We start from the raw sequence: 22,265 nt of genomic DNA, 5'->3' as shown, positions 1-22,265 counted from the left end.
AACCAACCTAGGGAAATAAACTCCTATGCAGGAGATAAGTTACCACAGATATCAGCTACGTTAACTCTTTCTTTGCAGGAAAACTCAGCTGAGCTATACTTAACTAGAGTGTCCAGCATATATCAAGTAGATCTAGTGACTATAAATGGGGAGTTTTCTTAATTTTTTTATGTATTTTATTGTTTTTGGAGATGGGGTCTCACTCTGTTGCCCAGGCTACATTTGAACTGCTGGGCTCAAGTGATCCTCCCGCCTCAGCCTCCAGAGTAGGTGGGACTTTAGACATATGCCACCGTGGCCGGCTTTTATTTTTTATTGCTATGTTTATTCCTTCATTTAATGCCAAAAAAGGCTTAGAGGAGTTTTCTGGCCCCTACACTGACATCACACACAGGAGGTCCTCATTAAGTCTTTTTGCCTAATTGGCTTAATTGTGGTGCATTTGATAAATACTGGAGGAAATCCTGTGCTCTGCTCTGGGGTGAGAGGACCTTGCCACTCTGCGCATTCCGCGGCCAAGCCTGGGAGGTTGGGGACTGTGAAGGGGACGCCCCTTACTACGTGGGGAGAGGCAGCCTTGCTGTGAGCATTGAGTTTGAGTCCGGGAACCTGACCAGGAAGGCTCAGCTGTCTCCTTGCCTGCTCTATGGCCCTGAGCGAACCTTGCATTCTTTTTCTCTAAATCTCAGCCTGTCTCTCTCCCTCACCAGCCTACTGCAAGGCCCACCTGAGAGAGTGAGTGACGATGCTTTGTACACTGCAGAGTGGCCCCACGTAGAGCCCTGCTGTCAGGGCCTCAGGGCAGGGAAGGTTCTAAGGCTGGGCCAGGCCTGGGAGTTGTGTCAGGGAGCTGTGTGACAGACTGGCCACAGTCCTTGTCACTCCAGTTCCATCCAGGTGACCTGCAGCTTCCCAGGGCATCCGAACCCAGCAGCCCCAGGGATAGCCAGGAGGGAGTCGGTTCTGATCTGCTGCTGGGCAGGGGAGGGGTCAGGCCCGGCTGGGAGTAACCTAATCCCAGCGAAGAGCATGTCTGATTGCTTGACCGCTGCCCTCCTGCAGCTGGATTAGCAGCTGTGGCTTGGGGGAATAGGCTTGTTTATCATGCCCGAGACAAAAGGAGGAAGCTGAGAGCAGTTAAAACAACAGTTCTTCCTGTTGCCCCCACGCCTTTCATCCGAGGAGGCCGTTGTGAAGGAGAGTCCTCTTGGTGGTCAGGCCAGGGCCTGGGTTGCCATTCGAGGGGGAAGGGAAGAAGGCGGGGCCTCAACTGCACAGGCGAGGCTCAGTCAATCCCACTACAGCCCCACAGGGCAGATGCGATGTCTCCATTTTACCGAGGATGGTGACTGGCTCAGAGAGGTTGATTCATTCCTCCAAGGCTTCACAGCTGCCAAAGGCTAGCCCTGGGATGCTGACGGGTCTGGCCGCCTGCAGACCGGCTCCTTTTCCCTTTGCCTCTTGTTGACGCCTTCATGCTGGACAAAGCAAGAGTCACCGGCCCCAGATGCCCCCAGAACCCTTCTTTAAAGCCAAGATATTGGGTGTCCTGGAACTCTTGTTATAGACCCAGAAAGTCTGAGCGATGGCAAGGCCCATAAGCATTGTGGAGTCCAACTGCGTTGCAAATAAGTCATTTGACAGATGAGGGAACTGAAGTCCAGAGAGGTGAAGCAACTCATCCACACCAAAACAGCATTTTAGCATGTTGCAGAAGGCAGGTGGTCAGCAGAGCTGTTGAATGATGGAATCTGTGGCAGAGAGCCAGACTCGCGTCCCCACCCCAGCTCCCTGTGCTCTCGGGCCTGTGCCAGTCTCTTCCATGGGGATGGTTTTGTCCGCGGGTTGGTGCTATAGACTGACCCGGGGGATCTTCCAGTGTCTGCTGGCTCCAGGCATCCCACCTGGTGGCCTTCTGCTGATCCTGAGTCCCCACTCTCAGCGCTCCGTAAGTAACTAATATTTATCTTGGATTAGTTCCAAATCTACTGCAAAGTTGCAAGAATGGTACAAAAGTCTCCCACATCCTCCACTGTCTCCACAAGCACTCGCTGCTCTTACCACTTACTTTCTTGGCCATCAATAGCTCTGTGTCACGAGGGAAGGAAAGAAAAGAGCAGAGAAAATGGAGGCTCTGGGCACTGTGTAGATCAGAGACTCCTCCCTTTCTCAATTCCACGGTCCCCTGGAGAGCAACATAGTACAGAAGTTACCTGGTCTTCTTTCGTGACCATGCCCAGTCTCAGTAGGTATTCCATAGGGATTTGTAGAGTGGAGGAATGGATTGATCTCATACAACCTGAATTGCGTTGGCTACATTCCTTCAGGACACCTGGGAGAGCAGAAAGTGCATGAGGCGTTGGATCTCTGGCGTGCGCTGGGAATAACCCGGCATGGTAGGGTGAAGAAGACCAGGGATTAGCCTGGGGTGGGGGAGCATTTCTGGATGCCCAGAAGGGTCCCCTCTTAGAGAAGGTGATAGAATTATGGGCTGCTGAGGCTAACGGGTCAGTTGGAGGGCAACTGAGCCTCCATTTCCTCCCCCAGTTTCCAGAGGGGAAAGCCAGGTCCCGGGGAGGTAAAGTGACTTCCTCAAGGACATGCCGTGGCCAGTGGCAAGATCAGATGAAGACCGCGTCACCCGAGTCCCCAGCCTCTACCTGTTCCCTCCCCGGTTCCATTGCTCTGTGCGTTTATGAGGATTAGCCCATGTTAATGCGGCAAAGCTCACAAACACTGTCATACATCCCAGGTGGCACTGCAGGGAAAAAGTGACTGAGAAGCCCCAGCACTCTCCTAGGGTTGTGGTGGATGCATTTCTGGGGGAGATGGGCCTCTTATTCCTGGTGAAGAGAGTCTTGGGGAGACTGGAGGGGCAAGGACCCTTGGTGTCCCTTGAGGAGAGGGAGTCCCAGTTGGGGTTGGGTAGACTCACACCAGGTGGAAGAGCCATAATGCCTGCAGGTGGACTTGCTCTACCTGAAGGTGGACAGGGGTCCCCGGGGCTGGTGGGTTCTGTGTGGGGGCTCCTGAAATGCTAGGAATAGCAGCCACTGCAGCAGCTGTCCCTGGGCCTGTGGACTCATTCCTGGGGATGGCTCCTAATCCAGCAGGAGCCTGGGTGATTGGCACTCTTCTGCCAAACCTAGAGCCTTCTGCAGTTCCAGTAGGCAGTGCCTCAACAATGCCAGGAACGCTGGGGGTGGTCCCCGGATGGAAATGGAAACCCATTTCTCTCCACACAGCAACACCAGACCTGATCCTCGCTTTCTGTATGTCGGCTGTTTTGCATTCTTTGTGTTGATCTTCCCCACTTGTCACATCACGGAAAACCGGTCCATATGCCGGGAGGAGCCTCACAGATGCTGATGATGACCATGCGGTTGTCCTGGAGGGTGGGGCTCATCCTAGGGTCCGTGTTGCAGCCTCTTGCAGCTCTGCCCACAAGCATCGGTGCTGCTCCTTCTCGGGTCCTGGGAGAGCGCATATTCAGAACTGTTTGCAGAAGAGGGTGACAGGCACATGGTTCAGTTGATTTAGGAGGTGGATAAGTCGGGTGGTGTCAGAGATGAGCCAGGGCACTCTTTTTTCCTGTGGCAGGTGCTGTGTGGCCTGATAACTGTACCATGTTATGCTCCCATCACTTCTCTTCTTACTCAGACCGCTGTGGTATGGTCCAGCCTGGTCCTCTGAGCTCTATCTGCCTTGTTGTAGGAGCTGAGGCTGCCTCAGGCCTGCAGCTGGGGATCAGGGTGACTTGAGCCTCCTGGTCAGGCCCTCGGGCACCCTTCTCCACAGGCAGAGAGGGAGGATATTGTGTCAGCAGTCCTGAAGCCTGGGTTCCCCTCACGTCGGTCAATCGGTTTTCTCAGCTGAAAAACTTCAGGGAGGCTGAAAAGGGATATAATTCATGCATCCCTCATGGAACTATGTGGAGATTAATTGGACATATACCTTGTATTGTATACCTACAATAATTAGAATATGCCTTGCCATGAAGCAGTGGTTACTGAAGCTCGTGTAGTCTGTACTTAGGTCTGGAGAACGTTCCAGGGCAGCTTCAGTCACGCCCTGGAGGTTTGCTGTCCTCCTGGTGCTCTGGGTGGATGGTGGACTCAAATGATGACCACAGAACAGCAGTTGTTCTGCCTCCTGTGCGGGACGCTGCGCTCCTCTGAGTGGGTTTGCGATTTCCCCGGCCTCCCCTGCGCCTAGCACATAGTAGAGTCATCGAGGGTGTTTGTGGGGCGAAGCATGCTCCAGGTTGCACGGATGGGAGTGGTGTCCTTGCCCGGGGTTTTGTTTGGCTGGAAGCTGATGCAATTTGGGGTTTGGGCTTATTACATCCCTGTCTGCCCCGGTCCCCAGATCTACCCTTTGTCCTTTGAACTAAGGGTCTGGCCTTTCTGGGTTGCCTTGTCAGGCTTCTTGCCCTCTGATTTCGGGTTGGATTTGGTCAATGGGGGCACTAGTGGGAGATCAGAGAGTAGAGGGAGAGAGAGGTCAGCATCTCTGCTTCCCCATCCCTGACCTGGCTGCGGCTTTGTGAGGCCAGCATTCCTGGCTCACGGCCCTGGGGCAGCTGCTGTGCAGCTCTAGCTCCCACTGGCCAGCAGTCTTCCCTCATCCCTCCAGCCACAGATGCGGTCATCGCTGCTGCCGTCTCCTGGGAACGTCGCCGTGCTGTTGGATGCAGAGAATTGGACACTGCCCATGTCTCTTCCATAAACCCCATGGTGCAGACCCTCACTTTCAGAGTGACCCCCAAGGCACTGGTGCTCCTCTGCCCCCAGCAGTGAGTGAGGAAGCACACATCTCATTTTGCAGCCTCCGCCCAAGGAGAGGAGAGTGGACATGGATGGCGCTGAAGGATGGGCTGGGCATCCTTAAAGGGATAGCTCATTCTTGGCTCTGAGTTGTGTCAGAGCCATCAAGGGTCTTCAAAGGCTTCCAACTCCTCATCTTGACCTCGTCCATCCTATATCAAGTCAACCTCAGACTGGGAATGAGGGGACCCCTGTGTTGGATGAATGTTGATCCGTTTACTCATTCAGTCTCTCAACAAATAGTTCCCGAGCACCTACAAGGTGCTGTGCACTGTGCTGCCCACTGGGGAGCCAAAGTCAGCGGCCTCATCCTCACCCTTGGTCTAGCGGGAGAAATAAGGCGTGTAAACACACGGGGATTCTACAGGCCGTGAGTTGGCAGGAGAATGAGAGGAGCGGAGACAAGGAGCTGCAGGCATGCAGGGGGAAAGGAAAAAGTCGGGATGAGATGGGGGTCCCTCCCCAAGACTTTAGGTGGAGATATCTGTATACATCAATAAGTCAGATTGCATAGCTCAGGAGCTGATTGTTACCAATGAGTTAAATGAAAACATGTGAAAGGTGCTTTATAACCACCATCTCAGACATGCCGCCTCCATTTCCAGAGGAGAAAAGGCTGAGGAAAAATGTTCTAGAACGTTCTAGATGGTGCCAACTCAACTCTAGGATCACAGAGTATTGCCCAGTTATAGCTAAATCTAAGCAGGGAAAATGGGGGATTTCCCACAGTCGGACATTGGTGCCCCTGGTTGCTTCCCGTTGTTTGTTGGAAGCAGGGCAGGAGTGCAAAACCACACTCCTGCCTTCACCCGAAGCCTCTTCCGGGCCAGGGTTGCCCCATCTTTGTGCTCTTTGCTTCCTCGACAGGACCTGTCCTCTGGTGGCCCCTGAAGGCTCCCTCCCCCACTGCCCACCGTGTGAAGCACGATGACAAAATGACAAAAACATTCTCAAGGAAATGAGCTGCTCTGTTCCTGGGGCCACCGCAAGTGTCAGAGAAAGCAGGTCTGGGAGTGATTCACTCACGTCCATGGCCTGACTCCAAATCCGCCCCGTGCTGGCTTCCCCCTTCCTGTTTTTGAATCCAGACCTTGCCTGGCAGTGTCTTCCCCGCCGTGGAGAGCCCCCCAGGACCCATCGCCCTTGGTCTTCGTCTGTTCAGGGGTGGGCTGCTTCCCTTCGGCCTCCAACCAGCCCTTGTCCACAGGCTCGGGCGGCACTGGCAGAGAGAACCCAGCGCTTGCGGTCTGAGAGCCAGCTCCAGCCTTGCTGTGGTCGTCTCGGAAGTGGAGGAGGGGGGACAGGGACAAACCGTGGAACTTTGCCAAGCCTCGGATGTCTCCTTTGTTCAGTGGGATTTCCCGGCCATCTCTCTAGGTAACTGTAGGAACAGTTGAGATAATGTTTATGTGTATATATAATCCTGCTATACACGGAAAAGAGCTTCACACATGTCATTATGTATTTGAAGAAGTGCTCCCTACCCATAGTGTGTGTGTGCGTGTGTGTGCGCGCATGTGTGTGTGCGTGTGTGCGTGTGTGTGCGTGTGTGTGCATGTGTGTTTGTGTGCATGTGTGTTTGTGTGCATGTGTGTGCGTGTGTGTGCATGTGTGTGTGCGTGTGTGCGTGTGTGTGCATGCGTGTTTGTGTGCGTGTGTGTGCATGCGTGTTTGTGTGCGTGTGTGTGCATGTGTGCATGTGTGTACGTGTGTGCGTTTGTGTGTGTGTGTGTGTGTGTTTTTGCAGGTGCTGTTGCCATGACAACATTCTCGCCTGGGCCGTCTAAAATATCCTGCTGGTTGATCTTGGGTGATCACCGCTTTCACAACGTTAGGCCCTGTTCCGAAGTCGACCATGGCTCCCAACTGTGGCAGCCGTAAACAAACCTCCTCCCCACAAACCCGGCAAAGCCATTCCCCCTGAGAGCCAGGCATTCACTCCACTCGAGCAAGACTCTACCTGCAAAGGGGGCTCCCTTAGCCCCACTCTGCTGGTGCACACCTCCCAGCCCCCACAAGCCCAGCTGGGAAGTCTCATCCAATTTCTCCCGCTGCGATGACCAGTCTCTTATGAATCTCTGTTGTAGACTTAACACCACGTGTTGGCAAGCAGTTGTCATTCCATCATGTCCAGTGTTTTGGCTCAGTGGATTTCAACACTGGCTGAGAATCACCTGGAGAGCTTTTTAAAATGAAAAAATTCACTTCTTTGTGCAAGACGTGAATTTAGAGGTCACTTTACTGATGGGAACCTGAGTCCCAGCAATGGAGGGCAATTTGCCTGTGGTTATCTAGGGAGGCAGAGCCCAGGCAGGAGGCTGCCTGCCGGGAGGTGCAAAGCTCCCTTCTCTGACCCCAGCTCCCCTACGGGCTGGGAAACAGAAAGTGAAAGTGAAACCCTCCACTCTGCAGAATTTGTCTTGACATTTTCTTTCAACCTGTCCTTGACAACTCTCAAACTTTACCCCTCTTTCTCTTTTCTCCACTTGAAGGCCCAGGCTGGCTGAGAGTGACATCTCTGCCATCCCTTCCTCCCAGCTCTCTGCGTGTGTAGGAACAGTCCTGGAACTCAGCTCTGCAGTGGGGCAGAGGCAGGACTTGTTAGATGGAGAGGTCAGGTCAACCTCACATGAGGCCAACTCAGTCTGTGCCTTTGCCTCTGCCCATCCTCCTGCCTGGGGTGTGGATGGGGTGGCAGAGAGAAGAAAGGTCAGGGACTGAAGATGGCAAGATGGGGTCTGCTCCCCCCTCCACTGCACTCCCAGCTGGGGGTCAAGGGAGGACCATCTAGGTATAGAGATAGATGCTCTGGGGACAGAGGGCCTTTGCCCAGCTAAGCCCTCTTGACTTGACTACGCCCTCATGACTGAGCTCTGAAGGAGACCCCCTCACCACCCTGACTCCCACTCAGGATGGGGCCTCAGCAAGGCATGTTAAAGGCAAAACAGATTGGAGAAGACTCTGACCTTTGACTCCCTGAGCCACCTTGATGCCTACGTGGTGTGGACAGGGCCATGCGGGAGTAGGGGATAAGTGGTCTTGGTGAGCACAGAGACTTGGGGACAGACCACTAATGCCAGGCAGAATGGGATCTCAGTCAAACTCCAGGGCCCACAGCAGCCTTCCTCTGACTGTGAGGCATCTTGAGGAGGGAATAAGTGGTAAGGACAGCAGGGTAGAAAGACAGGAGGAGCTGGGGACATGGGTGGCACCATGGAGCCCCCATGCCAGCGTGGGAGTGGCCATCTCTAGACTATTTCTATGTGAGAAGAAAATAAACCTCTACCTGGTTTAAGTCATTTATGGGGAGGGTCTCTGTTGCTGACAATAAAATGCAATTGTTGATTGCATTTGGTTGCACAGTAGCCCAAGCTGCCTTGGGACCACACCTGTGGTTTAAAGTTGTTTGCTAAGTTGAGCTGAGATCTGCCTCAGAATCCAAGGAAACCCTGGCCAATCCTAATTCCCAGTTCCACCAGGACCACCCCAAAGAAATCGAGTCCATTCCTCCTCTCCAGCTTCTCCCTATTCCTTCCCATTTACTTTTCGTCTTGATGTTCTTTGCTCCATCTATCTGTGACTATTCATTGGCTCCCAGGCCCCCTTAGTCACCTTCTCACTTTCTCAGGGCCATGGGTAGCCCCCAGGCAGGGCCCATGCCCTGCCCATGCACTTTCCAGACCCTTGGCAGCTACCTCCAGCACCAGCAGCTGCTGGATTTGCTTGTTCCTTGGCTGTTTATATGTTTCCTCCATGCACTTGCTCCATGATTGGGCAAGAGAGCTTTCTACCTGTCCTGGGTTTTATTATCATCCTGTTCTGTGCTTACCGTACTTCTCACTCCATTCTCTTTCCTGCTCAGCTGTCTAAGCATTATTTATTCTTCAAACATTTGTCCAGCACTTGTGATGTGCCGAGCACAGGGCCAGAGGTGCACCAGACCCACTTCCTGCCTTCAAGGGAGCTCTGACGAGGCTGCACATCCCGCTTGGTGTTGTAAGCCCTGCAAATCCAGGCCATCTCATTAACCTACTTCCCTTACTGATGAGTGGCCTGGAGACTATTAGCAAGTGTGTGTTTGTGGGGGATGGACAGGAAGATACTCTAGTGCTTGTTTTTGTTTTGTTTTTTGACAGTTTCCAAGGATTCTACTTCCAGTGTCAATATCAGGTTTCTTCCAGTCCATGAGTTGTCATGGATGTGTCCCTCTTTTATTACCAGACAGAACGGGAACTATCATTGGGAAAATTTTCCCAGTGACTACAGTTTGGACAAGAAAGTCTATATTCAGGAACGTGATTTCTTTTCTTCTTTTGAAGTCATACCACCGGGGCTCCATGGCCAGCCCAGAGCTCCACTGTCACTCTCTCTGTTGTTTCTCCTCTCCTTGTTTTTTTCTCATCACCAAGGATTGGATCACAGGTTCTTAGCCTGGGCTTCCTGGATCTCTGGGGCTGGGGGTGGAGGGTGCATCTATGATGAGCTGCAGGAGCCCATGCACTTGTAATTGTGTGTAGTATTTTGTGTTTATGGGAATGTGCTTGTTTTTCAGGAGGGGCATTGGTGTTATTCATGGTTTTCACTATCATTTTGAAAGGGAGGGGGGCTATTACCTAGACAATTTTAAGAATGAACGCCTTTGGTAATTTCTCAAGAGGTCTCTCAGATTGAGGGACAGCACAGCCTCATGTGCTAACTTTTCCTACAAACTCCTAGTGTAACCTCAGTGATCCTGTGGTTTAACCTCTTTGTTTATGGCTCAGACAAGGGAAGCACAGACAATTCAAGTAGGTCACTCAAAGCCATCAGCTTGTTACTGGCAGAGCCTAGTTGGGCTCATGAACCTGGAGACCTCCAGAAGCAGCTGGGTTGCTCATCCATTAAAGAGTGAGGACCTTGGTGCTGTCTGTATTCTTTCCTGGATTATAAATGCCAGGAGGCATGAGCCTGCCTCCCCAAGCTGTGCCTCAGTCTCTGTGTCTAAGTAAAGGTCTGGCACACAGTAGGTGGTCATCGTTTGCTGCTGGATTGCTTTGTGCCTGTTCATCAGAAGTACTAACTACCCTTGTGGAGCCCTCTTTGCCTACTTGCTCTGTTACTCTCCATCTGAATTTACTGCCCAGAACCTGGGGCGCCAGAGAGTTCTGTTGTGTGGAACGCTGTGATGTTTCCCTAAACTCTTACTAGTTTAGGAATTGGCTTAGGGAAGATGTCCTCCTCTTAAGGGGTAATTACCTTCTTAAAGGGTAATTCATCCCACCCCCTCCTTTTAAATATTTTTACTTTTTTTTTTATATCTCGTATTGTGATAAAATACACACCAGATAGAATTGGCCATCTAAACTGTTTGTAAGTGTACAGTCCTGTGCCGTTGGTGTGCGACCACCATCACCACCCATCCCCAGAACTCCCCAGGGTGAAACTCTGCACCTCTGAAACATTAACTCCCCTCTCGTACCTCCTCCCAGCCCTGATGTCCCCCATCCTACTTTCTGTCTCTATAAAATTGACTGCTTTAGGGACCTCATACAAGTGGAATTATACAGCACTTGTCTTTTGTAACCGGCTCATTTCTATTCACTTAATGTCTTCAAGGTTCATCCATGTTGCAGCATGGGCCAGATTTTCCTACCTTTTTAAGGTTGAGTAAGTCTCCTTTGTTTGTCTATATCGCATTTTGTTAATCTGTTCATCCGCGGATGAATGTTTGGGTTGTTTCTACCCTTTGACTACTGTGAATAAAGCTGCAATGAACGTGGGTGTACACGTATCCCTTTGAGCCCTGCTTTCAGTTCTTTTGGGGAGATACCCACAAATGGGATTTCTGGATCATGTGGCAATTCTATGCTTCCATTTTTGAGGACCCGCCATACTGTTTTCTACAGCAGCCACATCATTTGACCTTCCCACCAGCAATGTTCCAACTTCTCCCCATCCATGCCAACACGTGTTTTCTGGTTTTTACAGTAGCCGTTCTAATGGTGTGAGGTGGCATCTCACTGTGGTCTCTCCTTTTTTTTACGAGTCACGTTCACCCACCTGGTAGGCCTGACCTATCAGGTTGGAGCACAGTGGCTCCTGCCGCTCTCAGCACCCAGAATCAATCGAAATCACACTTGATGACGTGCTGTGGCTTTCTCGTGGAAATGTGAGCAATTTGTGCTTCGCTTTTTGTCATTCTGTCTTTCCCAAACTTTGATACACACAGATTTGGGGTTTTTTCCATGTGTTAATATACCTGAAATCAGGATGCATCTTTGCAATGAATGGCGTGTCTTTGTCTTCATTTGTCACTGTTTCTTTTTTTCATTCTTCCTTTCTTAAATGGTTTGTAAAATACCAGTGCTCTTATGACCTGTGGCAAGTGCGAGCCACTGGAAGGTGGTGCTGAAAACGGCTGCCTGACCCCATGCAGCCCGTGTGGACCTGTGTGATGGTGGAGAGCGTGCAAAGGACCCAGCTCCCTGCTGCATGCCTGCAGCTCTTGTTCTCTCCGGGGGCTGCATGCCCCACGTGTTTTTCTCTGGGGACATGTGAGCTTCCCATCATGCTCGGCTTCTTTCGGTGATCCGCGTGTGATATTGATCAGCCCTTCAAGGTCTCGCAGCAGCCCTGTCCCTCTCCCTGCTCAGCCCTCTGGGGCCTAGCTTGGGTTCCTGCCACTTGCATTCTCTCCTGCAAAGCCCAGCCTCCCCCATCCTCCCGCTATTCACTCTGTTCCTGAATCCACTGCCCCTGCTGCCTGCGCCCGCTGCCAGCCCCCTACCCAGCCTAGCCCACTTCTGCTCCCAGGGCTGCCAACAAAACTGTTTCCTCCCTGCAGGTCCGCCCTGCCCCTTCCTCCACAGGGGCTGTCAACTCTTGGAGCATTTCCTGTGACTTCTATTTTTTCTCCTTTTGCCCCGTAATCTGTTTTTCCTTGCTCCGTCTACCCCCTCCCACACACAGCTGGAAGGCCTCTGCTTTCCTTCCCTGCTTCCTCCCAAAATCCCCGGCACCGCCCCCTCCTTTTCCATCCCACAATGCTGCCCTCGCTGCCTGCCCCCCACCTGCACTGACTCAGCCTCCCCTGGCTCTGATCGGTACAAGTGGACCCTGGGGTTTGCTGGGGCCTAATCAGCCCCAGGGGTGGATCCCTCGGTCTCTGTGCTCACTGAGACCACCCACCACAGCTCCCCGCTTCCTGCCAGGCCCTCTGCTCCTGCGTGGTCCTGTCCACAGCCGGGGGCACCTGGATGGTTCAGAAGCAAAATGTTGGAGCCTCCTCCAATGCATTCTACCTGCCCGCACCTGATGAGGCCCTGCCCTGTGTGGGAGGTGGGTTGGGGGGCGCCTTTATCGCTCAGTCATGAGGCTTGGCTGGGCAGAAGCCCTCCGCCTATGGAGCATCTCACACCTCATCTAGATGCTTCCCCTCCCACACCCCACCCCCACCCCATGGGCTCCCCACTTGACCCCCAGCTGGGCACAGAGTGGAGAGCAGGGACCACACCCCACACGCACCCTCCAGCCTGGCCCCCTCTTCCCTGTGTCTTTCCTCCCAGCATTTCCTCGCATCCCGAAGGCCCAGGTTCCTGGACTCACGCCCCAGGTGAGTGGTACTGGAGGAAGAGCCTTCTCCCTCCTGGGAGCTTCTGTGACCCTGTAGGTGGCCTGATTCCTGAGATGGTGGAGAGTTGCTTGGTGCAGGTAGGGTGTTCTCTCTCTGGGCGCGGCCTGGCGCCCACCCAGCATGTTTTGTTAAGAGGTCAGGTCTTCCCCTGCTCCTGATTGGAGGAGAAACCTCATGATTTTGAAAGGAGGAAACCAGCAAGGGGAAAAGTGACTGATACGCGATTTTGCGTATCAGCTGATTGTTCACCCTCAGTCCGGCTTCTGAAGGCCGGTCTGGAATGTAGGAATGCAGTGATTGTCCCCTGTCATCCACTGGACAAAGTGGGGGATCTGACAGGAGCCTCGGCTCCCAACCCCACCCAGGCTTCTTCCTAATTCAGAAACCCAGCTTCAGAGTCACTGAAGGTGAGGTGCTTGCTGTTGTCACTCTCTGGGGCCCACATCTCAGTGGGGCTCTTCCTGTTCGACAAGACAGAAACCCCAACTCAAACCCACTCAGCCAAGGAGAGAATTGTCGGCTCGTGGAACTGAAAAGCCCAGTTTTCCAGGCCGGGTTTTGAACACCCCGACGCAGGGATGGCAGATGTCCGGCAGCCAGAATGGCTTTGCTCCACCCTGACTCTATGGCAGCTGATCCCAGCTTGCAAGAAGCCTCCGACCTTCTCCTCCCGGCCTTCCACCCCAGCTTGCAAAAAGCCTCCAACCTTCTCCTCCCAGCCTTCCAACACCACCCAGCTGGTCAGAGAAGACGCCAGGGCCATATCTATTTGCTGTGGTCCTAATTTCTTCCTAGAGCCAGAGAGGCTAATCCCTAAGTTGTTTTTAGGCTTCAGCTCAGGAGTCTCTGCATCACCTCCTCCAGGAGGACTTCCTTGACCTGCAATGCCATTCCTTTTACTCTGCATTCAGTCACACCCAGTGTATATTGTGGTGTATGTGTGAGTGTGTGTGTATGTACACACATACACATCAGAACATTTGTTATTGTGTGTAGGAGCGTGTCTGTTTGTCACATTGGAATGTGAAGTTTCTGAAGATCGGTGCCATGTCCTACTAATGGTTGCATCCCAGGATGCCACCCAGAGCCTGATGCAATAGATGCTCAGAAATCTTTGTTGGCTACATGAGAGAGGGAGTGATGAGTGACAGAATGTGTGGAGAATGTGATGAGTATTCTGAGAGTGAGGACTGGAAGGTGATGCCTCTTCCAAGAAGAAAACCTTCCACGTTTGCAATTTCCTTCCCCATGGCTGCAAGATAAGGTCATACTGGGGACAAGACAGTGCTGAAGACACAGTGATGCAGGGATATGGAGGTGCTGGGGACATGGTGATGCCGGGGACATGGAGGTGCTGGGGACATGGTGATGCCAGGGATGTGGAGGTGCTGGGGACACAGTGGTTCTGGGACATGGTGATGCTGGGGACATGGAGGTGCTGGGAACATAGTGGTGCTGGGGATATACGTGGTCATTTTAGTGGCATGATGATGCTGAGGGACAGGGTGACAATGAGTCACAGCAATGTTGGGGACATGTGGTGCTGTGCTGGGGACATAGTGATGCTGGGGACATGGTGACTGTAAGTGCATATGACTCTAGGGACATGGTAATGCTGGAGACATGGAGGTCCTGGGAACATGGAGGTGCTACAGATGTGGCTTTGCTGGGGACATGGCAATGCTGGGGACATGATGACTCTGGGGACATGGAAGTGCTGGGGACATGGAAGTTCTGGGGACATTGAAGTACTGGGGACATGGAGGTGCTGGGGACATGGTTGTGCTGGGGACATTGTGGTCCTGGTTTCATGGTGGTTCTGGGGACATGGTGACTCTGAAGGCATGTGGTGGGAACATGGTAATGCTGGGGACAGCCTCAAACTCCTGAGCTCAAGCAATTCACGGGGCTGGAGTTTGAACTCAGATCTGTCCCATGCCCAACTTTTGTCCTTCCTTCTGTTCCATCCAAATAGATTCACTTGCCTCTCCATAGTGGAGTGGAGCACATTTGGGGTGGGCAGGAAGCACCTCTAGAAAGACGGGAAGAGACAGGAAATGCCAATCCCCCAAGCTGCTCTCTGACCCCTCTTCCTCTGCCCTGTTACAGCGGCCAGAGCCCCCACACCATGAACAGCACCCCCAGGAATGCCCAGGCCCCGAGCCACCGTGAGTGCTTCCTGCCCTCTGTGGCTCGCACCCCCTCGGTCACCAAGGTCACGCCAGCCAAGAAGATCACCTTCCTCAAGCGAGGGGATCCACGGTTTGCTGGGGTCCGCCTGGCCGTTCACCAGCGCGCCTTTAAGACCTTCAGCGCCCTCATGGACGAGCTCTCCCAGCGCGTGCCTCTCTCCTTTGGGGTGCGCTCTGTCACCACACCCCGGGGCCTGCATAGCCTCAGCGCCCTGGAGCAGCTGGAAGATGGAGGCTGCTACCTCTGCTCTGATAAGAAGCCCCCCAAGACCCCCAGTGGACCAGGCCGGCCACAGGAGAGAAACCCCACTGCTCAGCAGTTGCGGGATGTCGAAGGCCAGCGTGAAGCCCCAGGCACCTCCTCCTCCCGGAAGAGTCTTAAAACCCCCCGGAGGATACTGCTGATTAAGAACATGGACCCTCGCCTCCAGCAGACAGTGGTTCTCAGTCACAGGAATACTAGGAACCTGGCCGCCTTTCTCGGCAAAGCCTCAGATCTCCTGCGCTTTCCTGTGAAGCAGTTGTACACGACCAGCGGGAAAAAGGTAGGCTGTTGGGGTCTGACGGTTCCTTGAAAAGGTTCTTTAGACCTGAGGTCAAAATACTCACATGGAAGAGAGAGATTATTCCTTAAAAAGAGGCATTTGATTGCCCTGCTGCTAATTAAAGGTGAACAGCATGGAGACACTCAGTCAAGTCAATAAATCAACAAGCAGCTGTGATTCATGTTTTTAGGTATATTTAGAGAGCATGCGGTAAGTGGCAGGCATTGTGCCTGTGTACTCTTTTTTTTTTTTTTTTTGGCTTTGTTTTTTTCGAGATGGAGTTTAACTTTTGTCACCCAGGCTGCAGTACAATGGCATGATCTCGGCTCACTGCAACCTCTGCCTTCTGGGTTCCAATGATTCTCCTGTCTCAGCCTCTGAGTAGCTGGGATTACAGGCATGTGCTACCATGCCCAGCTAATTTTCTAGTTTTAGTAGAGACAGGGTTTCTCCATGTTGGTCAGGCTGGTCTTGAACTCCCAACCTCAGGTGATCTGCCCGATTCGGCCTCCCAAAGTGCTGGGATTACAGGCATGAGCCACCATGCCCAGCAGCCTTGTGTACTCTTATTGTTGTCTTATCCAATAACCTATTATTGCAGGGGTTCAGTGTAGGAAACAAACTACTCAAGTTACCTTAAGTAGAAAGTGATTTAATACAGGGCGTTGGAGGGCTTCATGTTTGGGAAGCCAGAGAGTGAATTGGAAGCTGGGTCTGCAGGAATGGCTCCCAGCATGTGCAGGAAGCTACTACCTCTGCTGGAAGCCACTATGATTATTGAGTTCAAGGACATGCGTGAATGTAATTTTTGCCTTTCCAGGTTCTGCCGGACATGAAATTCCACCAAAGGTCGGCAGAATGGAGGATGGAGGTTGACTGACCTAATTCACAGTCTCCTCAAGATTCAGTCCTGTTGCTCCTTAACATCTGTATGCACCATTCCACCAATACTTCATAAATATCATATCACTGGGCACAGTGGCGCACGCCTGTAATCCCAGCACTTTGGGAGGCTGAGGCAGGCGGATCACCTGAGGTCAGGAGTTCGAGATCAGCCTGGCCAATAGGGCGAAACCCTATATCTACTAAAAATACAAAAATTAGCCAGGTGTGTTGGCGCACACCTGTAATCCCAGCTACTCGGGAGGCTGAGGCAGGAGAATTGCTGGAACCTGGGAGGCAGAGGCTGCAGTGAGCCAAGATCATACACTGTACTGCAGCCTGGGTGACAGAGCCAGACTCCATCTCAAAAAAAAGTCATATGATAACATCATTACAAAAACTTTGTTATAAACATCAGCTACAGCAGCCTGCACTCATGGAGTAACAGAGCTCTCCCTCCTACAATCAAAAACACGTTCACCTTCTCCCCACAATCGCATTATCACTGGACCCTTCGTCTTCTATGCTGTGACAACCTCACCTTGATATCGTCTATCTCAAGGTCTACTTAGGTAGTCCAGCACCATCAAAGTACCCTATGTTAAGAAGTATAGGAAATAAAGAACAAAGAAAAGGGAAATTGATTAATATGTATACCTAGCAGAGCTATGACAAAAATTAGGCTATCTACTGCAAGGCCTTCGTTGGTGTTTAAAGCTTCTTTCCACTCTCCACTCCCTGTTCCTCTGTCTCCCACCAGCACCGCAGCTGATTATGCTTATGTACTCAGCAGAGTGACCGAACCATATTCCTGAGGGGTCTGAGCCCTTGGGGTTCCTCACTACATGGGCCGTGGTCTTGTGTTCATGTTTATCCCTGGACATGACAGCCAATGGGCTGCATGGGTAATAGATGACTTCCTCCCTATCCCATTGTGTAATAGTAGCCCTATTTCCCCCTTAGACAATCAGAACCAGCCACCCCAGCCAACACAGAACTTCCTTGTTGCCTATTGGCTCATTGTCATGAGAAGCCTTGTATGGCCAAGGTGACCGTCTCAGCTTTCAGCTCCATGGGGCCACTGTTGTGTCTTCCTTTTTTTTTGAGACAGAGTCTCACTCTTGTCACCCAGGCTGGGGTGCAGTGGCGCGATCTCGGCTCACTGCAACCTCTGCCTCCTGGATTCAAGCAATTTTCCTGCCTCAGCCTCCCAAGTAGTTGGGATTACAGGCATTCACCACTATGCCCAGCTAATTTTTGTATTTTTAGTAGAGATGGAGTTTCACCATGTTGGCCAGGCTGGTCTCGAACTCCTGACCTCAGGTGACTCATCTGCCTCGGCCTCCCAAAGTGCTGAGACTACAGGCGTGAGCCACCGCACCCAGCCCACTGTTGTGTCTTCTAAGGGGGAACATTCTCCCTTGGGTCCTGAGATCTCCAAACCCATGCCATAACCCATGCAGCTTACTTCTATCCAAAGAACTAATTTTATAGCAAAAGAAGTGAGACCCTGGACTAACATCCATGGAATTCGCTGTATAGCTTGCAGACACCAAAACTGCTGGGATGGAAAGCAAAATGTTTGCAGTGAGGTCACAGGTGTTGTAGACTAAGATACAGGTGTCTTAGTCGCCAGAGAAACAGCACTATGTTTCAGTTGCCATTTCAGAGCACATATCACTGTATCAGCCATACTTCAGTACAGGAAACAGAATCCTCTCTCAACATCTTTTTTTTTTTTTTTTTTTTTGAGATGGAGTCTCCCTCTGTCACCCATGGTGGAGCGCAGTGGCATGATCTTGGCTCACTGCAACCTCTGCCCCCTAGGTTCAAGCGATTCTTCTGCCTCAGCCTCCCCGAGTAGCTGGGACTACAGGCGCCTGCCACCATGCCCAGCTAATGTTTTTTTGTTGTTGTTGTTTGTTTTGGGTTTTTTTTGTATTTTTAGTAGAGATGCGGTTTCACCATGTTGGCCAGGCTGGTCTTGAACTCTTGACCTCAGGTGATCTGCCCACCTTGGCATTCTAAAGTGCTGGGATTACAGGTGTGAGCCACTGTGCCCAGCCCTCTCTCGGCATCTTAAGCAGGAAAGAATTACACTCAGAGGGTTTGATGCTTAGAGATTCAGTGAAAGGCTGGAGGAGCACAGGCTGGGTTCCTGGAAAAGATTCCCAGAATGTCACAAACCAACCTGTCAGGGATGTCTAGGAAATGAGGAAGGTGAGTTTTGGGGGGTTGCCTCTGGAATGACTGTGCTCTGAATTACCCCACCATTGCTGGGATCCCAAATGGGAAGATGATGGGTACTAGAACAACGAGGGCATCTTTTGATGTCTCAGTGGCACATGCCTCTCTGCATCTTTGACTTCCTTTTGCTTGTGGCAAGAGTCAGGAACAAAAGGAAGATGGCCTGTGCTTCGCTGCCACGTTCCATGCCCTGTTCAAGTGCATCTTATTAGTGGGACTTATTTCGCATTTAGATCCCAAGCTGCAAGGGAGTTCAGGAAATGGGCTGGCAGCTTTCTAAACTCTGCAGTACTGGGCCAGTCATGGTGGCTCACACCTGTAATCCCAGCACTTTGGGAGGCCGAGGCAGGTGGATCACTTGAGGTCAGGAGTTTGAGACCAGCCTGGGCAACATGGGGAAACCCCATCTCTACTAAAAATTTAAAATTAGCCAGGCATGGTGGTGCGTGCCTGTAGTCCCAGCTACTGGGAAGGCTGAGGCAGGAGAATTGCTTGAACCTGGGAGGTGGCGGTTGAACCTGAGAGGTGGAGGTTGCGCCACTGCACTACAGCCTGGGTGACACAGCAGGACTCCATCTCAGAAAACAAACAAACAAACAAACAAAAAAACACGAAAACCAAAACAAACAAAGAAACCTCTGCAGTACTGGAAAGCATACCAGAAAGAGAGTGGGATAGAAACAGCTGGTATGGGGCATAGCATTCACTACACAAACTCACAAGGTAGCTGATATTACTATTATTAATTTATTAATTACTATTATTAATGTTTGAGACAGGGTCTGGTTCTGTTGCCCAGTTTGGAGTGCTGTGGCCCAATCTCAGCTCATTGCAGCCTCGACCTCCTGGGCTCAAGTGATCCTCCCATCTCAGCCTCCCAAGCAGCTGGGACTACAGGCACATGCCACTATGCCTGGCTAATTTTTTTGTTTGTTTGTTTGTTTGCTCTTTGTTTTTGAGATGGAGTTTCACTCTGTCACCCAGGCTGGAGTGCAGTGGCACGATCTTAGCTCACTGCATCCTCCGCTTCCAGGGTTGAAGCAATTCTCTGCCTCAGCCTCCCAAGTAGCTAGGATTACAGGCGTCTACCACCACGCTCAAGTAATTTTTTTTTCTTTGTATTTTTAGTAGAGATGGGGTTTCACCATGATGCCCAGGCTGATCTCAAACTCCTGGGCTCCAGGGATCTACCCACCTCGGCCCCCCAAAGTGCTGAGATTACAGGCATGAACCACTGCATCTGGCTGGTAGCTGATATTATTATCCCCTTGGGACAGATAAGAAAAGTGAGGCACAGAGGTTAAGTAATTTGCTCCTAGTTGCATGGCTGGCCAATGAGAGAGCCAACATCAATGCTTGGAAAATGAAAAAGAACATGCTCTGTGCTTTAAAGATGGAAATACATCCCCAAGCATTGCTAATTACAACGTAATGCAAGGATGCTTTTGAGTTAGTGGCATTACCGTGGACTAGCATGTGCCACATAAACAGACAAATGAGACGAGGTCCCTACCTTCCGTTAGCTACCGTTTAGTGGGTGCGATTTTTGATGGACCAGGAGTCCAAATCAAAGAAGAAATGGACCTCGTCATTTAAAACAAACTTCTAGGCCGGGTGCAGTGGCTCACGCCTGTAATCCCAGCACTTTGGGAGGCCGAGGCCGGCGGATCACGAGGTCAGGAGATCGAGACCATCCTGGCTAACACGGTGAAACCCTGTCTCTACTAAAAATACAAAAAATTAGCTGAGTATGGTGGCGGGCACCTGTAGTCCCAGCTACTCCGGAGGCTGAGGCAGGAGAATGGCATGAACCCGGGAGGCAGAGCTTGCAGTGAGCCCAGATCGCGCCACTGCACTCCAGCCTGGGTGACAGATCGAGACTCCGTCTCAAAAAAAAAAAAAAAAAAAAAAAAAAAAGAAAAAGAAACAGAAAAAAACAAAAACAAAAACAAACTTCTAATTACCTAGGCTGAAAGATCTGGTGCACAACAGACTTCTATGACATTTTTTGGGGAAGAGAATGTAATGTTCCTTCTTTTTTCTTTTTTTTTTTTTTTTTTTTTTGTTAATGAGCATACCCTTATAATTTTAGAGAATGAGAAAAAACATGCTCTGTGCTTTAAAGATGGAAATACATTCCCCATTCCCCAGCATTGCTCATTACAATGTAATCCCATCAATAGTGCAAACCCTCAGATCTGCAGGGGCTTCTCGGTCCAGGGACCAGTTTCCTGGAAAGGAATTCTGCAGTGACATGGCCTGCCCTGAGCCCAGGAGTGCATAGGGGACATTCTGATGGGTCTGGGGAGGGTCAGGAGCCCAGAGACCATTTTAGGAGTCTGGAAGGGAAGGGGTCCCTGCAGGAAGAGTGGTGCCTAGCCCCTCTCCCCTCCACTTGGGCAGAGGCAACAGACTCAGACTGTACCAGAAAACACAGATTAGGCAGCACAGAGTCTCCTTCATTTGGGAAAAGAATGAGAGAGTGAATCGGGCCCCGCTGTGGGAGCTGGAGGGCGTGCTGCTCCAGCTGCTTCAGGGAATACATATTCTGGAGGGTGGACATGTGGGCAGAAATGCGGCCTACAGAAGTCTTTTGCAGCAGGGGCATCCAGAATGCCCTTTGATCACGGGCCTCACGCCTGGTGGAGGGAGGGGTATAGCTAGAGCGGGAGATCGTGGTGGTGGGACCTCAGCCTCCAGCTAGTGATAGAGGTGTTATGGGGAGTGGATAAGACCCCTCCTTGGACCAGGAGTCTGGGGTGAGATGTGCAGAAATCAGGACAGGGCTGGTGAGACTGGATCCTTCCTCCCCCAGGCCTCAGGGTAGAGGGGTTTCTGCAGCCCAGGCCTCCTGACCCCGCCCGCTCCTCCCTCAGGTGGACTCGCTGCAGGCCCTGCTGCACAGCCCCTCTGTGCTGGTGTGTGCCGGGCATGAGGCCTTCAGAACCCCAGCCATGAAAAATGCCAGGAGAAGCGAGGCTGAAACTTTATCTGGGCTGACTTCAAGAAACAAAAACGGTGAGTTGGTTTTTGGGTTTCCCCCATCTGATTTGCACTGCATGGTGGTTCAGTAGGGCTGAGTGGAAAGCCTTCCAGGTAATTCAGGAAACTTCCCTTTGGCCCCAGATCTTGGGTATCCCAGTCATTTTGGGATCTCTCTTGCCTCTTCCTCCTTCTCAGTACTGTCAATCTTACTTGGGTTCAACATTTGACCAAGATAGGAGAGGGCAGTGCTTGGTATATAAAAGGAACAGAGGCTGGGCATGGTGGCTCATGTCTGTAATTCCAGCCGTTTGGGGGCCCAAAGCGAGAGGATAGCTTGAGTCTAGGAGTTGGACACCCGCCTGGGCAACATAATGAGACACTGTCTCTAAAAAAAAAATACAAAAAAATATGCCAGGCATAATGGCACATGCCTATAGTTTCAGCTACTTGGGAGGCTGAGGTGGGAGGATCCCTTGAGCCTAGGAGGTTGAGGCTGCAGTGAGCCGTGATCGCACCACTTCACTCCAGCCTGGGTGACAGAGCAAAATCCTGTCTCAAAATTAATAAATAAATGGAACAGGGATTAAGAGATCTTGAATTTAAAGTTTCTAGAATCTAAAATAAATTTTATTAAGAGCCACAGGCACAGAGGCTCACACCTTTATTCCTAGCAACTTGGGAGGCCAGGACAGGAGGATCACTTGAGCCCAGGAGTTCAAGACAAGCCTAGACAACAGAGCAAGACCCTGCCTCTACCACAAACATCAATAAGTAATGAACAAATTAGCCAGGCATGGTGGCGCATACCCGTGGTCCCAGCTACTCAGGAGGCTGAGGGGGGAGGATGATTTGAGCCCAGGAGTTTGAGACTTGAGTGAGTCATGATCGTGCCACTGCTCTCCAGCCTAGGCAACAGAGACCCTGCCTCAAAAAAGAAACAACTACAGTGGCCATGACATCATGGCAGCAATGGGCC

General features: G+C 51.5%; 1 protein-coding gene across 1 annotated transcript in view, besides 5 other annotated features; it reads left to right on the top strand.

The window, feature by feature from the left end:
• RP1L1 (RP1 like 1) overlaps window positions 1–22,265 on the top strand; it is a 48,795-nt gene that overhangs the window by 17,376 nt on the left and 9,154 nt on the right. Inside the window, exons 2-3 of the mRNA NM_178857.6 lie at window positions 14,548–15,175; window positions 21,181–21,322. Of these exons, the coding sequence (NP_849188.4) occupies window positions 14,567–15,175; window positions 21,181–21,322 (751 nt within the window). The 5' untranslated portion in view covers window positions 14,548–14,566. The remainder of the gene's footprint in view (window positions 1–14,547; window positions 15,176–21,180; window positions 21,323–22,265) is intronic.
• Window positions 134–1,039: an enhancer, noted in NCBI's record as "NANOG-H3K27ac-H3K4me1 hESC enhancer chr8:10494239-10495144 (GRCh37/hg19 assembly coordinates)". NCBI's record gives its function as "activates a minimal SCP1, AML or CMV promoter by ChIP-STARR-seq in naive H9 embryonic stem cells {active_cell/tissue: H9 hESC(naive)}" and the evidence as "EXISTENCE:reporter gene assay evidence [ECO:0000049][PMID:30033119]".
• Window positions 1,040–1,945: an enhancer, noted in NCBI's record as "NANOG-H3K27ac-H3K4me1 hESC enhancer chr8:10493333-10494238 (GRCh37/hg19 assembly coordinates)". NCBI's record gives its function as "activates a minimal SCP1, AML or CMV promoter by ChIP-STARR-seq in naive and primed H9 embryonic stem cells {active_cell/tissue: H9 hESC(naive and primed)}" and the evidence as "EXISTENCE:reporter gene assay evidence [ECO:0000049][PMID:30033119]".
• Window positions 5,418–6,127: an enhancer, noted in NCBI's record as "H3K4me1 hESC enhancer chr8:10489151-10489860 (GRCh37/hg19 assembly coordinates)". NCBI's record gives its function as "activates a minimal SCP1, AML or CMV promoter by ChIP-STARR-seq in naive H9 embryonic stem cells {active_cell/tissue: H9 hESC(naive)}" and the evidence as "EXISTENCE:reporter gene assay evidence [ECO:0000049][PMID:30033119]".
• Window positions 7,193–7,322: an enhancer, noted in NCBI's record as "active region_26993". NCBI's record gives its function as "activates an Ori minimal core promoter by ATAC-STARR-seq in GM12878 lymphoblastoid cells {active_cell/tissue: GM12878}" and the evidence as "EXISTENCE:reporter gene assay evidence [ECO:0000049][PMID:35858748]".
• Window positions 8,723–8,923: a silencer, noted in NCBI's record as "peak6901 fragment used in MPRA reporter construct". NCBI's record gives its function as "represses an SCP1 promoter by STARR-seq MPRAs in K562 erythroleukemia cells {active_cell/tissue: K562}" and the evidence as "EXISTENCE:reporter gene assay evidence [ECO:0000049][PMID:32103011]".

Source organism: Homo sapiens, chromosome 8, assembly GCF_000001405.40.
Source record: "Homo sapiens chromosome 8, GRCh38.p14 Primary Assembly".
Lineage (NCBI taxonomy): Eukaryota > Metazoa > Chordata > Mammalia > Primates > Hominidae > Homo > Homo sapiens.
This window is presented reverse-complemented; position numbering and strand designations above follow the sequence as displayed.